We start from the raw sequence: 16,780 nt of genomic DNA, 5'->3' as shown, positions 1-16,780 counted from the left end.
TATGAAATTCTTGAGGTGCATTTTTCAGCTCTATCACTTTAGTTTGGTTATTTCTTAAAATGCCTGTTTCATCTTTAAGCTCTTATGTCATCTTATTGGATTCCTTAGATTATTTGGATTGGATTTTGACTTTCTTCTGAATCTCAATGATCTTTGTTTCTATCCAGATTCTGAATTCTATGTCTGTCATTTAATCCTGGTTAACAACCATTGTTGGAGAGTTAGTATGATTGCTTGAAGACAGGAAGACATTCTGGATTTTTACATTGCCAGAGTTCTTGCACTGGTTCTTTCACATCTGTGTGAGCTAAGGTTCCTTTAATGTTTTGAATCACTGTCCTTTGGATGGAGTTTTTTCCTTTTTTATATTCTTTAATGCCCTTGAGGGTTTGACTGTGGCACAAGGTAGTTTCAGTCAAATGGCTTCATTTCTGGAAGATTTCAGGGGGTAAAGGCTCAGCTCAGCACTCCTGAACTGCATACTCTAACTTTGCAAGGCTGGTACCATACCAACAGATTTGTTGTCTGGCCCTTCAATGTTAAGCACTGAGGTGTTCCCAGTCCACTGGCAACAACACTCTGATGGGGTGTGCCAGCCAAAGTGCTTCATTGTAGTGATTGTAGCAAGGTCCCCACTCACACATATGTGTCAGCAGCAGCAGCACACAGCAGGTATGCATGTGTTGGCAGGGGTGCAGTGCTGGCAGGAGTGGGATGGGGGTGTTCTGCATACTTGCATGTGTCAGCCGGGGCAATGGTGTTGTGGGGTGCACTCATGTGCTGCTGGAGACAGAGTGGCAGCATCTTCATGAGTTTTATGTTATCATTCTAAATCTTTAAAAATAATGTTCTAGACTTCTAACAAATGTATTTGTGAACCCAGAGAAAAAAAGAGTATTATTTTGTGCATTATTACTTAATCATATCCAAGAAAATTTTACTTTACAATTTGTTCTTTTCACTCAACAATAGTGTTGAGGTTTATCCATCTCAAGATGGATACACATGTAGTTTATTCCTTTTAATTGTATAAGATTACATTGTATGTCAACAGCAGATTTTATTTACTATGTTATAACAAAAATAGCATTTTATTTGTCTCATTTTATATAAATATAAGTTTGTCTAGAATAGTTACCTGGGTTACATGAATTTTTAGTTTGATGTATACTGCCAAAATCTTTTTGGTATGGCCACTTTAATTTGCCCTAATACCAATAGCTTATGAGCATACCTGTTGTTCTTGAAAATCCTTGCAAATCCTTGATATTATTAAATTTTATAATGTTTTCCAGTCTGATCATTGAAAAAATGGCATATTTTTGTTATTTTAGTTTGCATTTCTGTGATTATTCACAAGCTTGAATATCTTTTATATACGTGTTGTCCTTCAGCTTTTCCTTATCTGTAACTAGCCTGTTCATATCCTTTGTCCATTTTTTTGTTGAGTTGGTCTTCTTTATTAATTATATCTGTTATATGCATTTGTAAATTATATGTATTGCAAATATCAGTAGATATTTAATTTTGTTTGTGATGATTTTTTTTTCACTCTAAGAAGTGTATTTTGTTATTTTCAACAGACAGAATTGCCAATACACAACACCGTTCACTTGACTTTGAAAATGAAAAAGAAAAAGGGGGAGAAAGAGCAGAATTGCTTTTGAAGTAGTACTTTATTATAGTACTTTTGAAGTTGCTTTTGAAGTACTACTTTAATATAATTGAATGTATTACAATCTCTTTTTATGTCTAATGTCTTTGTATGTATCATTCAAAAGGTCCTTTTTACCTCATGATCACAAATATATTATTCTACATCTTTTTTTTGTTGTTCAGAGTCTTGCTGTCACCCAGGCTATAGTGCAGTGGCATGATCTCAGCTCACTGCAACTTCCACCTCCCAGGTTCAAGTGATTCTCCTGCCTCAACCTCCCAAGTAGCTGGGACTACAGGCATGCACCACTGCACCCAGCTATTGGTTTCACCATGTTGGCCAGGCTGTTCTCAGATTCCTGATCTGTCCACCTCAGCCTCCCAAAGTGCTGGGATTACAGGTGTGAGCCATCAGGCCTAGCCCACTACATTTTCTTATTACTACTTTTCCTTTTGAGCTTTTAACATTTATTATATGTAAGGATCTATCTATATTCCTTTCCACATAAATAGTTATCTCAACACCATTTGTGAAAGATTTCTTTCTTTCTCCCACTGATTTAAAATACCAATTGTATGATGTAACAAATCCCATAGATTTGTTTCCACACTTTGTATTCTCTTTTCTTCCAATTTATTTTGTCTTTTTATATGTCACTATTATTCAGTTTTAACTATTTTACCTTTACAAAAACAGTATCTTGTTTTCTTAAGTTTACTTGATCTTTCATTCTAAGACCTTATTCTTCCAAATGAATTTTATAATCAGCTTGTCAAGCTCAGTATAAATCCCTGCAAAGATTTTGATTGGTGTATCTGATTAATTCATTTGGGGGAGAGTTTACATCTTTATATTATTGAGGCTTTGGCCAGGCATGGTGGCTCACACCTATAAGCCAAGCACTTTGGGAGGCCAAGGCAGGCATATCACTTGAGGTCAGGAGTTCAAGACCAGCCTGGCCAAAATGATGAAACACCGTATCTACTAAAAACACCAAAACTAGCCAGGCGTGGTGTTGAGCGATGGTAAAATTGGGGCTTTTTAGTTCACACTTGTGAAATGTCTCCCTAAGTATTCAGGTATTATCTTAATTATTATATTATTATATTCACAATTTTTATAAAAGTATAGACTGTCTTCACAGTTTTGTTCTTAGATACTTTGTGTTTTTAATTGATGTTGTGGATTAAATTCTCTTTGATCACTTATTCCTGGGGAAGCCAGCTGCCATGTCCTGAGGCAGCCCTGTGGAGAAAACCCCACTGGAAAAAACTGAAGCCTGCAATGGCTACATGAGTAAACTTGGAAGCAGATCTTCTCCACCCCACCCTACCTCATGGGAAATCTTAAGTCAAGGCATACAACTAAGCCATGCCCAGATTCCTGACCCACAGAAGTCATAAGACAATAAATATTTGTTGTTTTAAGCTGCTATGTTTGGGGATGACTTGTTAAGCAAAATAAGAAAAATAATACAACAGGTGATTACAATGTGCAGCAGAGTTCAGGAACCACTGAACTAGACCAGTATGTGGTTTTAGAGAAGTCTAGTCTCTTCTTGAGCCCACAGGGAAATCTGTAGCATAAACTGCGCCATAGAGTTGTACAGCCAGAAGCAAATCTCACATCAGTACGTCATTGGCAGATGCTGTCTGGAGGGAAAGTAGAGGGGTGCACAACCTCCCTAGTATTCCCAGGTAGGTGCTTGTCAGCAGGACAAAGGTTCTAGAAACCTGCAGATATTAGCAGCCAACAAGAAGCACTGGGAGATGTGTTCATAGACCTGGTAAATGGATTCTGGCAGGAGCACCAAAAGCATTTCTACACAGGATATACTTCACACTTTATAAAGTAAATGTAGAAGAGATGAGGTGAATTTCTGGATAAGATATGCCAATAGAAAGTATTCTGAGCAGGAGCCTCCCCATTCCTCATGGGTGTCATCAACCACTCCAGAAATGTTCTCATTTGCCTTTGTAACTTAGGTGGCCACACTTGTTCTTTTGGGCAGACAACTCTGTTCCTTCCTTCCTTACTTACTTATTTACTCAAGAGGTAGGAAATGTGTGGAAGGTAGATTTGTCTGACCATTCTTACAGTGGTACTCCAAATAATCAACTATTTGGTTTCCCCAGAGGTCTCTCCTGCTCCCAGCATCTGTCATTTCAGGGCTTGGACCACTTTTAGAAGCACATGTATCTTTTGAGGCAATTTTATTTACACACATTTTGGTTTATGGTTTCCTTTTTTCAATCCTAAATTGTCTGTCTCTTATCTTTCTGGCATATACTTAGTTACTTGTCCATTGATGATTCACCTTTTGCTTTCTAGTTAGGTTATGAATTTTTCTATTACCTTTACATCTTCACTTCTAAGGATTTAGGAATAGAGGGAGAGGCTGCAACCTGTGCTCAGCCCAACATTTTAAACAACGTCTGTATAAAATTTTAGCCAGCACTAAACAATGCATGGAAAGTTTTATCACCATTAAATTGCATTCACTCAAATTTGAAATTCTTCTAAACAATGTTTGTTATAAATTTATTATAAACTACTTGTACTTATAAAACACTACTTGATTAAAAAGATGCTTTTAAATTAATTTTCATTCTTCTTTCAGTTTTGTTCTAGGTGCTGTCTCTCCTGCTGTTGTTGTTCTTTACACGATGGTGTTGCAAGAAAATGGATATGGTGTTGAGGAAGACATTCCAACCTTACTAATGGCTGCTAGCAGTATGGATGACATTCTGGCTCTCACTGGATTCAATACATGCTTGAGCATAGTCTTCTCCTCGGGTAAACAAGAAAATATAACAACCACCAGATCATTCATGACCTTTTTTGTTAGTTCTTTAAACAGGGTTTCTGGCTTTGCTTCTTCATTTATTAACCAAGACTGTTCAATTTAACATCTTTTTAATCTCCATAGAAAGCTCATTCCAGACCAAGGAAGATATTTCAGTGGCTTAAGATACCACTACTTAACACACATGATCTCACTTTAATAATCATATGACAATTAGTTTGATAAACCATATTATTACTATTTATCTGCTTATGTTGCTTTTGAATTTTATCAGTTCTCATTAGAAAAAATTAAGCAGCAGTATTATTTGTACTACTAATATTTTAATAGGCATTTTTGAAATGCGCCTTTTTGGCCATCCTAATAAACAACTGGTTGCTCTATTATAAGACAACATAAACATACAGAGCTGGGACAGCCATATGCCTTTTTGGTAGTGTTAGGACAAAATCCTGCACCAGTTCTGATTCCCAAGGTGATATCTGGTCTTGAATATCACTACAGAAATTGTGAAACTAAACATTTCCACATGTAGTAATGCTTTAATTATCTGCAATGTTTGAGTCTTCTGTATTATTGAAGCGCTAAACTATTTTTAAGTTGAAAAGTAATATATATAGTTTTATAGTTTCTCTTAAAATAAGAAAATATAAATAAATAAGAAAAAGAGGAAAAGTTAAAAATAAAATCTGCAATAGTCACATCCAGAAGAAAAGAATCATTTCCTTCTGAACCTTTTGGTATAAATCCACCCATATTCCCTTCCCTTCCCTTCTTCCCTTCTTCCCTTCTCTTCCCTTCCCCTCTCCTCCCCCTTCCCTTCCCTTACCCCTCTCTCTCTGTCAAATATTCTTATAAAAATCAGTGAATATTTACCAACATGTTCTTTTATTATTTTTTTTTGAGGCGGAGTCTTGCTCTGTCACCCAGGTTGGAGTGCAGTGGCACAATCTCGGCTCACTGCATGCTCTGCCTCCCGGGTTCATGCCATTCTCCTGCCTCAACTGCACAAGTAGTTGGGACTACAGGCGCCCGCCACCACGCCCGGCTAATTTTTTTTGTATTTTTAGTAGAACCAGGGTTTCACCATGTTAGCCAGGATGGTCTTGATCTCCTGACCTCGTGATCCGCCTGCCTCAGCCTCCCAAAGTGCTGGGATTACAGGCGTGAGCCATCGCACCCGGCCTAATATGTTCTTATAAACTGAATTGTTTTACACTTAACTGTATATCACAAACATGTTTCTTTACAGTAAATGTATTTGTATATCATTTTTAATAGTTGTTTAGCTTAATGAAAGAGTATTCAATGTGCTGCATCATGATTACTTATCCTGTTCAAAATTAAAGTTAACTCCAATATTTACTATTAAAATGATACGTAGTTGTGTTGCTATAAAAATTTTTTTTAAATTAAAAAATTGGCCGGGCATGGTGGCTCACACCTATAATCCCAGCACTTTGGGAGGCCAAGAAGGGTGGATCACTTGAGGTCAGGAGTTCAACACCAGCCTGGCCAACAAACATGGTGAAACCCTGTCTCCACTAAAAATACAAAACTTAGCCGGGCATGTTGGTGGGCATCTGTAATCCCAGCTACTCAGGAGGATGAAGCAGAAGAATCACTTGAACCCAGGAGGCGGAGGCTGTAGTGAGCTATCCAGCCTGGGCAACAGAGCAAGACTCTGTCTCAAAAAAAATTTTTTAATTAAAAAATATACTTAGTTGAACATATAGAGAAATATTTGTACCTAATCTTCATATTTTCTTAAGCTTAAAAGTGTAATTGTTGATCTAAAATGTATATACATTTATGAGTGTTCTGAAACATATTGCCACAATATCATGTCCTACCCGGGTACATAAACTTGTCATTTCCTCTCACCTCTCTTCAAAACTTGGTATTACTAGCCTTTTTCATCTTTGCTAATTTGATAGGTGAAGGAGGGATCTCTATAAATGAAGTACTTTGAATACTAGTGATGTTAAATATCCATGTTTATTAGTCATTGGCATTTTGTAAATTGCTTTTCTTGAAAGTTTTTTGCCTATTTCTTTTAGGTGGGTTCACCTTTTATTCTTTTTGATTTGTCAAGATTCTGCATTAAATTGAGAATGAAAACCTTTGTTTTATATACTTTAGTTTTTTCAATTTGTAATTTGGCTTTTAATTTTCTCACTCTTTTTACCATTCAGAAGTTAAAGTTTTTTATTGTCAATTGTGAAAATCTTTTCCTTCATGATTGGTATCTGTCATTCTTTCAAAAAATATTGTTATCAGTCATGTTTCCAAAAAATATTTCCAGGCTGGGCCCAATGGCTCACGCCTATAATCCCAACACTTTGGGAGGCCAAAGCGGGGGGATCACTTAAGGACATGAGTTCAAGACCAGCCTGGCCAACATAGCAAAGCTCCATCTCTACTAAAAATACAAAAAGTTAGCTGGGTGTGGTGGCACAGGCCTCTAATCACAGCTACTCAGGGGGCTGAGGCACAAGAATCGCTTGAACCCAAGAGGCAGAGGTTGCAGTGAGCCAAGATCACACCACTGCACTCCAGCCTGGGTGACAGAGGGATACTGTCTGAAAAAAAGAAAAAAAGTATTCCTCTTCCTTTTGCCAGCTACTATGCCAAACACTGAGAATAAACAGTAGGCAACAACATTAGCTTTTATTGAATACTTGCTTGACTCTTGTTCTAAGTTCCATATATGTCACCACTCATTTACAGGTAAGGAAACCGAGAAAGATGTTAAGTAATTTTCTCAAGGACAGAGATCCAATAAGTAGGGGAGCCAAGATGCAAATCTGACAGTCTCCCTCCACACCCACACATTTAACTCTTCTCTTCTCCACTGCCTCCCAACACAACAGAGAGACAAGATCAAATGGTGCATGTTCTCAAGGAGCTTGTATATTAAAGAAAAATTACAAATGGGATGAATATTACATTGTGAAGGTTAATATTAAGTAAGTGTCAACTTGATTGGATTGAAGGATCCAAAGTATTGTTCCCGGTTGTGTCTGTGAGGGTGTTGCCAAAGGAGATTAACATTTATTTAGTGGACTGGGAAAGGCAGATCCACCCTCAATGTGGGTGGGCACCATACAATCAGCTGCCAGCATGGCTAGAATAAAGCAGGCAGAAGAAGGTAAGGAGAAGCTGACTTGCTGAGCCTTCTGGCCCTCATCTTTCTCCCATGCTGGATGCTTCCTGCACTCAAATATCAGACTCCAGGTTCTTTGGCTTTTGGACTCTTGGACTTCCTCCAGTTGTTTTCCAGGGGCTCTCAGGCCTTCATCCAGAGACTCAAAGCTGGCCTGTCTGTTTCCCTACTTTTGAGGTGTTGGGACTCAGACTGAGCCAATACTAGATTCCTTGCTCCTCAACTTGCAGACGGCCTGTTGTAGGACTTCACTTTGTGATGGTGTGATTCAATTCTCCTTAATAAACTCCCTTTCATATATATATATTCTATTAGTTCTATCCCTCTAGAGAACCATGACTAATACAGATTTTGATACTGAGGTAATGGAGTATTGCTATAAGATACCTGAGAATGTGGAAGTGACTTTGGAACTGTGTAATGTGCAGACTTTGGAACAGTTGGGAGGACTCAGAAGAAGATCAGAAGATGTGGGAAAGTTTGGAACTGCCTAGAGACTTGTTGAATGGCTTTGACCAAACTGCTGATAGTGACTTGGACAGTGAAGTCCAGGCTGAGGAGGTCCGAGATGGAGATGAACAACTTGTTGGGAACTGAAGTAAAGGTCACTCTTGCTATGCTTTAGCAAAGAGACTGGTGGCATTTTGTCCTTGCCCTAGAGATTTATGGAACTTTGAAATTGAGAGAGATGACTGAGGACATCTGGTAGAAGAAACGTTTGTTGTTGTTGTTATACCTTAAGTTCTAGGGTACATGTGCACAACGTGCATGTTTGATACATAGCTATACATGTGCCATGTTGGTTTGCTGCACCCATCAACTCATCATTTACATTAGGTATTTCTCCTAATGCTCTCCCTCCCCCAGCCCTCCACCCCCCAACAGGCCCCAGTGTGTGATGTTCCCAGCCCTGTGTCCAAGTGATCTCATTGTTCAATTCCCATCTATGAGTGAGAACATGCGCTGTTTGGTTTTCTGTCCTTGTGATAGTTTTGCTGAGAATGATGGTTTCCAGCTTCATCTATCTCCCTGCAAAGGACATGAACTCATCCTTTTTTATGGCTGCATAGTATTCCATGGTGTATATGTGTCACATGTCTTAATCCAGTCCATCATTAATGGACATTTGGGTTGGTTCCAAGTCTTTGCTATTGTTAATAGTGCCGCAATAAACATACATGTGCATGTGTCTTTATAGTAGCATGATTTATAATCCTTTGGGTATATACCCAGTAACGGGATTGCTGGGTCAAATGGTAATTCTAGTTCTAGATCCTCGAGGAATCGCCACAATGTCTTTCACAATGGTTGAACTAGTTTACACTCCCACCAACAGTGTAAAAGCTTTCCTATTTCTCCATATCTTCTCCAGCATCTGTTGTTTCCTGACTTTTTAATGATTGCCATTCTAACTGGGGTGAGATGGTATCTCATTGTGGTTTTGATTTGCATTTCTCTGATGACCAGTGATGGTGAGCTTTTTTTCTTGTGTCTGTTAGCTGCATAGATGTCTTCTTTGGAGAAGTGTCTATTCATATCTTTGCCCACTTTTTGATGGGTTGTTTTTTTCTTGTAAATTTGTTTGAATTCTTTCTTTGTCAAATGGGTAGATTGCAATTTATCTCCCGTTCTGTATGTTGCCTGGTTCACTCTGATGGCAGTTTCTTTTGCTGGAAGCTCTTTAGTTTAATTAAATCCCATTTGTCAATTTTGGCTTTTGTTGCCATTGCTTTTGGTGTTTTAGTCATGAAGTCCTTGCTCATGCCTATGGCCTGAATGGTATTGCCTAGGTTTTATTCTAGGGTTTTTATGGTTTTAGGTCTAACATTTAAGTCTTTAATCCATCTTGAATTAATTTTTGTATAAGATGTAAGGAAGGGATCCAGTTTCAGCTTTGTACATATGGCTAGCTAGTTTTCCCAGCATCATTTATTAAATAGGCAATCCTTTCCCCATTTCTTGTTTTTGTCAGGTTTGTCAAATATCAGATGGCTGTAGATGTGTGGTTTTACTTCTGAGGCCTCTGTTCTGTTCCATTGGTCTATATATCTGTTTTGGCACCAGTACCATGCTGTTTTGGTTACTGTAGCCTTGTAGTATAGTTTGAAGTCAGGTAGTGTGATGCCTCCAGCTTTGTTCTTTTTGCTTAGGACTGTCTTGGCAATGCAGGTTCTTTTTTGTTTCCATATGAACTTTAAAGTAGTTTTTTTCCAATTCTGTGAAGAAAGTCATTAGTAGCTTGATGGGGATGATATTGAATCTATAAATTACTTTGTGCAGTATGGCCATTTTCATGATATTGATTCTTCCTATCCATGAGTGTGGAATATTCTTCCATTTGTTTGTGTCCTCTTTTAATTCGTTGAGCAGTGGTTTGTAGTTCTCCTTGAAGAGGTCCTTCATGTCCCTTGTAAGTTGGATTCCTAGGTATTTTATTCTCTTTGTAGCAATTGTGAATGGAAGTTCACTCATGATTTGGCTCTCTGTTTGTCTATTAATGGTGTATAGGAATGCTTGTGATTTTTACACATTGATTTTGTATCCTGAGACTTTGCTGAAGTTGCTTATCAGCTTAAGGAGATTTTGGGCTGAGAAGGTGGGGTTTTCTAAATATACAAACATGTCATCTGCAAACAGGGACAATTTGACTTCATCTTTTCCTAACTGAATACCATTTATTTCTTTCTCCTACCTGATTCCACTGGTCAGAACTTCCAACACCATGTTGAATAAGAGTGGTGAGAGAGGGCATCCTTGTCTTGTGCTGGTTTTCAAAAGGAATGCTTCCAGTTTTTGCCCATTCAGTATGATATTGTCTGTGGGTTTGTCATAAATAGCTCTTATTATTTTGAGATACGTCCCATCAATACCTAGTTTATTGAGAGTTTTTAGCATGAAGGAGTGTTGAATTTTGTCAAAGGCCTTTTCTGCATCTATTGAGATAATCATGTGGTTTTTGTCTTTGGTTCTGTTTATGTAATGGATTATGTTTATTGATTTGCATATGTTGAACCAGCCTTGCATCCCAGGGATGAAGCCCACTTGGTCATGGTGAATAAGCTTTTTGATGTGCTGCTGGATTCAGTTTGCCAGTATTTTATTGAGGATTTTTGCATCAATGTTCATCAAGGATATTGGTCTAAAATTCTCTTTTTTTGTTGTGTCTCTGCCAGGCTTTGGTACCAGGATGATGCTGGCCTCATAAAATGAGTTAGGGAGGATTCCCTATTGTTCTTTTTTTGTTTTTTGGATGAAAAAAGAACTGTTTAATTTTTTTGATGTTTTCAATGTTGATATTTTTTCCAAGAATTAGAGAAATATCTCTGGATGGTTATCTAAAATTTATAATTTTTTTACCGGTATGGTATGTAGGAGAGTGTCATAGTTTTTCTATTATTATACTTTAAGTTCTAGGGTACATGTGCACAATGTGCCAGTTTGTTACATATGTATACATGTGTCATGTTGGTGTGCTGCACCCATTAACTCGTCATTTACATTAGATGTATCTCCTAATGCTATCCCCCCTCCCCCCACTCCATGACAGGCCCCAGTGTGTGATGTTCCCCACCCTGTGTCCAAGTGTTCTCATTGTTCAATTCCCACCTATGAGTGAGAACATGTGGTGTTTAGTTTTCTGTCCTTGCGATAGTTTTTTCAGAATGATGGTTTCTAGCTTCATCCATGTCCTTACAAAGGACATGAACTCATCCTTTTTATGGCTGCATAGTATTCCATGGTGTATATGTGCCACATTTTCTTAATCCAGTCTATCATTGATGGACATTTAGGTTGGCTCCAAGTCTTTGCTATTGTGAATAGTGCCGCAATAAACATACATGTGCATGTGTCTTTATAGCAGCATGATTCACAATCCTTTGGGTGTATGCCCAGTAATGGGATGGCTGGGTGAAATGGTATTTCTAGTTCTAGATCCTTGAGGAATTGCCACACTGCCTTCTACAATGATTGAACTAGTTTACACTCCCACTAACAGTGTAAAAGCCTTCCTATTTCTCCATATCCTCTCCAGCACCTGTTGTTTCCTGACCTTTTAATGATCACCATTCTAATTGGTGTGAGATGGTATCTCATTGTGGTTTTGATTTGCATTTCTCTGATGGCCAGTGATGATGAGCATTTTTTCATGTGTCTGTTGGCTGCATAGATGTCTTCTTTTGAGAAGTCACTGTTCATACCCTTTGCCCACTTTTTGATGGGGTAGTTTGATTTTTTCATATAAATTTGTTTAAGTTCTTTGTAGATTCTGGATATTAGCCCTTTGTCAGAGGGGTAGATTGTAAAAATTTTCTCCCATTCTGTAGGTTGTCTGTTCACTCTGATGGTAGTTTCTTTTGCTGTGCAGAAGCTCTTGAATTTAATTCGATCTCATTTGTCAATTTTGGCTTTTGTTGCCATTGCTATTGGTGTTTTAGTCATGAATTCCTTGCCCATGCCTATGTCCTGAATGGTATTGCCTAGGTATTCTTCTAGGGTTTTTATGGTTTTAGGTCTGATATTTAAGTCTTTAATCCATCTTGAATTACTTTTTATATAAGGTGTAAGGAAGGGATCCAGTTTCAGCTTTCCACATATGGCTAGCCAGTTTTCCCAGCACCATTTATTAAATAGGGAATCCTTTCCCCGTTTCTTGTTTATGTCAGGTTTGTCAAAGATCAGATGGTTGTAGATGTGTGGTATTATTTCCGAGGGCTCTATTCTGTTTCATTGGTCTGTATCTCTGTTTTGGCACCAGTACCATGCTGTTTTGGTTACTGTAGCCTTGTAGTGTAGTTTGAAGTCAGGTAGTGTGATGCCTCCAGGTTTGTTCTTTTTGCTTAGGATTGACTTGGCAATGCAGGTTCTTTTTTGGTTCCATATGATCTTTAAAGTTGTTTTTTCCAATTCTGTGAAGAAAGCCATTGGTAGCTTGATGGGGATGACATTGAATTTATAAATTACCTTTGGCTGTATGGCCATTTTCACGATATTGATTCTTCCTATCCATGAGCATGGAATGTTCCTCCATTTGTTTGTATCCTCTTTTATTTTGTTGAGCAGTGGTTTGTAGTTCTCCTTGAAGAGGTCCTTCACATCCCTTGTAAGTTGGATTCCTAGGTATTTTATTCTCTTTGAAGCAATTGTGAATGGGAGTTCACTCATGATTTGGCTCTCTGTTTGTCTGTTATCAGTGTATAGGAATGCTTGTGATTTTTGCACATTGATTTTGTATCCTGAGACTTTGCTGAAGTTGCTTTTCAGCTTAAGGAGATTTTGGGCTGAGACGGTGGGGTTTTCTAAATATACAATCATGTCATCTGCAGACAGGGACAATTTGACTTCTTCTTTTCCTAATTGAATACCCTTTATTTCATTCTCTTGCCTGATTGCCCTGGCCAGAACTTCCAAGACAATGTTAAATAGGAGTGGTGAGAGAGGGAATCCTTGTCTTGTGCCAGGTTTCAAAGGGAATGCTTCCAGTTATTGTCCATTCAGTATGATATTGGCTGTGGGTTTGTCATAAATAGCTCTTATTATTTTGAGATACGTCCCATCAATACCTAGTTTATTGAGAGTTCTTAGCATGAAGGCTGTTGAATTTTGTCAAAGGCCTTTTCTGCATCTATTAAGATAATCATGTGGTTTTTGTCTTTGGTTCTGTTTATATGATGGATTACGTTTATTGATTTGCATATATTGAACAAGTCTTGCATCCTAGGGATGCCAACTTGATCATGGTGGATAAGCTTTTTGATGTGCTGCTGGATTCAGTTTGTTAGTATCTTATCGAGGATATTTGCATCAATGTTCATCAGGGATTTTGGTCTAAAATTCTCTTTTTTTGTTGTTGTGTCTCTGTCAGGCTTTGGTATCAGGATGATGTTGCCCTCATAAAATGAATTAGGGAGGATTCTGTCTTTTTCTATTGATTGGAAAAGTTTCAGAAAGAATGGTACCAGCTCCTCTTTGTACCTCTGGTAGAGCTCAGCTGTGAATCCATCTGGTCCTGGACTTTTTTTTGTTGGTAGGCTATTAATTATTGCCTCAATTTCAGAGCCTGTTATTGGTCTATTCAGAGATTCAACTTCTTCCTGGTTTAGTCTTGCAAGGGTGTATGTGTCCCAGAATTTATACATTTCTTCTAGATGTTCAAGTTTATTTGTGTAGAGGTGTTCATAGTATTCTCTGATGGTAGTTTTATTTCCCTGGGCTCAGTGGTGATATCCCCTTTATCATTTTTATTGCATCTATTTGATTCCTCTCTCTTTTCTTCTTTATTAGTCTTGCTAGCAGTCTATCAATTTTGTTGATCCTTTCAAAAAACCAGCTCCTGGATTCATTGCTTTTTTGAAGGGTTTTTTGTGTCTCTGTCTCCTTCAGCTTTGCTCTGATCTTATTTTTTGCCTTCTGCTAGCTTTTGAATATGTTTGCTCTTGCTTCTCTAGTTCTTTTAATTGTGATGTTAGGGGGTCAATTTTAGATCTTTCCTGCTTTCTCTTGTGGGCATTTAGTGCTATAAATTTCCCCCTACACACTGCTTTAAATGTGTCCCAGAGATTCTGGTACATTGTGTCTTTGTTCTCATTGGTTTCAAAGAACATCTTTATTTCTGCCTTCATTTTGTTATTTACCCAGTAGTCATTCAGGAGCAAATTGTTCAGTTTCCATGTAGTTGTTCAGTTTTGAGTGAGCTTCTTAATCCTAAGTTCGAATTTGATTGCACTGTGGTCTGAGAGACAGTGTGTTGTGATTTCTGTTCTTTTACATTTGGTGAGGAGTGCTTTACTTCCAGTTATGTGGTCAAATTTAGAATAAGTGAGATTTGGTGCTGAGAAGAATGTATACTCTGTTGATTTGGGGTGGAGAGTTCTGTGGATGTCTATTGGGTCTGTTTGTTGCAGAGCTGATTTCAGGTCCTGGATATCTTTTTTAACCTTCTGTCTTGTTGATCTTTCTAATATTGACAGTTGGGTGTTAAGTCTCCCTTTATTATTGTGTGGGAGTCTAAGTCTCTTTGTAAGTCTCTAAGGACTTGCTTTAAGAATCTGGGTGCTCTTGTATTGGGTGCATATATATTTAGGATAGTTAGCTCTTCTTGTTGCATTGATCCCTTTACCATTATGTAATGGCCTTCTTTGTCTCTTTTGATCTTTGTTGGTTTAAAGTCTGTTTTATCAGAGACAAGGATTGCAAACCCTGCCTTTTTTTGTTTTCCGTTTTCTTGGTAGATCTTCCTCCATCCCTTTATTTTGAACCTATGTGTGAATTTGCGCATGAGTTGGGTCTCCTGAATACAGCACACTGATGGGTCTTGACTCTTTATCCAATTTGCCAGTCTGTGTCCTTTAATTTGGGCATTTAGCCCATTTACATTTACAGTTAATATTGTTATGTGTGAATTTGATCCTGTCATTATGATATTCGCTGGTTATTTGCCCGTTAATTGATGCAGTTTCTTCCTAGCATTGATGGTCTTTACAACTTGGCATGTTTTTGCAGTGGCTGGTACCGGGTGTTTCTTTCCATGTTTAGTGCTTCCTTCAAGAGCTCTTGTAAGGCAGGCCTGGTGGTGACAAAATCTCTCAGCATTTGCTTGTCAGTAAAGAATTTTATTTTCTCCTTCACTTATGAAGCTTAGTTTGGCTGGATATGAAACTCTGGATTGAAAATTATTTTCTTTAAGAATGTTGAATATTGGCTCCCACTCTCTTCTGGATTGTAGGGTTTCTGCCAAGAGATCAGCTGTTAGTCTGATGGGCTTCCCTTTGTGGCTAACCTGACCTTTCTCTCTGGCTGCCCTTAACACTTTTTCCTACACTTCAACCTTGGTGAATCTGACAATTATGTGTCTTGGAATCGCTCTTCTCAAAGAGTATCTTTGTGTTGTTCTCTGTATTTCCTGAAGTTGAATGTTGGCCTGCCATGCTAGGTTGGGGAAATTCTCCTGGATAATATCCTGAAGAGTGTTTTACAACTTGGTTCCATTCTCCTCATCACTTTCCAGTGCACCAATCAAATATAGATTTGGTCTTTTCACATGGTCCCATATTTCTTGGAGGCTTTCTTCATTTCTTTTTACTCTTGTTTCTCTAACCTTGTCTTCTCACTTTATTTCATTTATTTGATCTTCAATCACTGATACCCTTTCTTCCACTTGATTGAATCGGCTATTGAAGATTGTGCATGCATCACAAAGTTCTGGTGCCATGGTTTTCAGCTCCTTTGGGTCACTTAAGGTCTTCTCTACACTGTTTATTCTTGTATGCCATTCGTCAAATCTTTTTTCAAGGTTTTTAGCTTCCTTGCAATGGGTTCCAACATCCTCCTTTAGCTCAGAGAAGTTTGTTATTACCAACCTTCTGAAGCCTACTTCTGTCAACTCGTCAAAGTCATTCTCTGTCCAGCTTTGTTCCGTTGCTGACAAGGAGCTGTGATCCTTTGGAGGAGAAGAGGTGCTCTGATTTTTAGAGTTTTCAGCTTTTCTGCTCTGGTTTATCCCTATCCTTCTGATTTTATCTACCTTTGGTCTTTGATATTCTTGACCTACAGATGGGGTTTTGGTGTAGATGATCTTCTGTTAATGTTGACACTATTCCTTTCTGTTTTTTAGTTTTCCTTCTGACAGTCAGGACCCTCAGCTGCAGTTCTGTTGGAGTTTGCTGGAGTTCCACTCCAGACACTGTTTGCCTGGGTATCACCAGTGGAGGCTGCAGAACAGCAAATATTGCAGAACAGCAAATATTGCTGCCTGATCCTTCCTCTGGAAGCTTCGTCCAAGAGGGGTAGCCGTCTATATGAGGTGTCTGTCAGCCCCTACTGGGAGGTGTGTCCCAGTTAGGCTACACAGGGGTCAGGGACCTACTTGAGGAGGCAGTCTGTCCATTCTCAGAACTCAAACGCCATGCTGGAAAAACCACTGCTCTCTTCAGAGCTGTCAGACAGGGATGTTTAAGTCTGCAGAAGTTGCTGCCTTTTGTTCAGCTATCCCTGCCCACAGATGTGGAGTCTAGAGGCAATGGGCCCTGTTGAGCTGCGGTGGGCTCCACCCAGTTCAATCTTCCCTGGCCACTTTGTTCACCTACTTAAGCCTCAGCAATGGTGGACGCCCCTCCCCCAGCCAGGCTGCCACCTCACAGATGGATTTCAGACT

At 38.6% G+C, this 16,780-nt stretch overlaps 1 pseudogene; it reads left to right on the top strand.

The window, feature by feature from the left end:
* Positions 1-16,780, top strand: part of SLC9B1P2 (solute carrier family 9 member B1 pseudogene 2) — a 48,809-nt pseudogene that overhangs the window by 13,216 nt on the left and 18,813 nt on the right.

This window comes from Homo sapiens, chromosome 2 (genome assembly GCF_000001405.40).
Source record: "Homo sapiens chromosome 2, GRCh38.p14 Primary Assembly".
Taxonomy (NCBI): Eukaryota; Metazoa; Chordata; class Mammalia; order Primates; family Hominidae; genus Homo; species Homo sapiens.
Note: the sequence above shows the minus strand (reverse complement) of the source record. Positions and strands in the feature narration are given on the sequence as shown.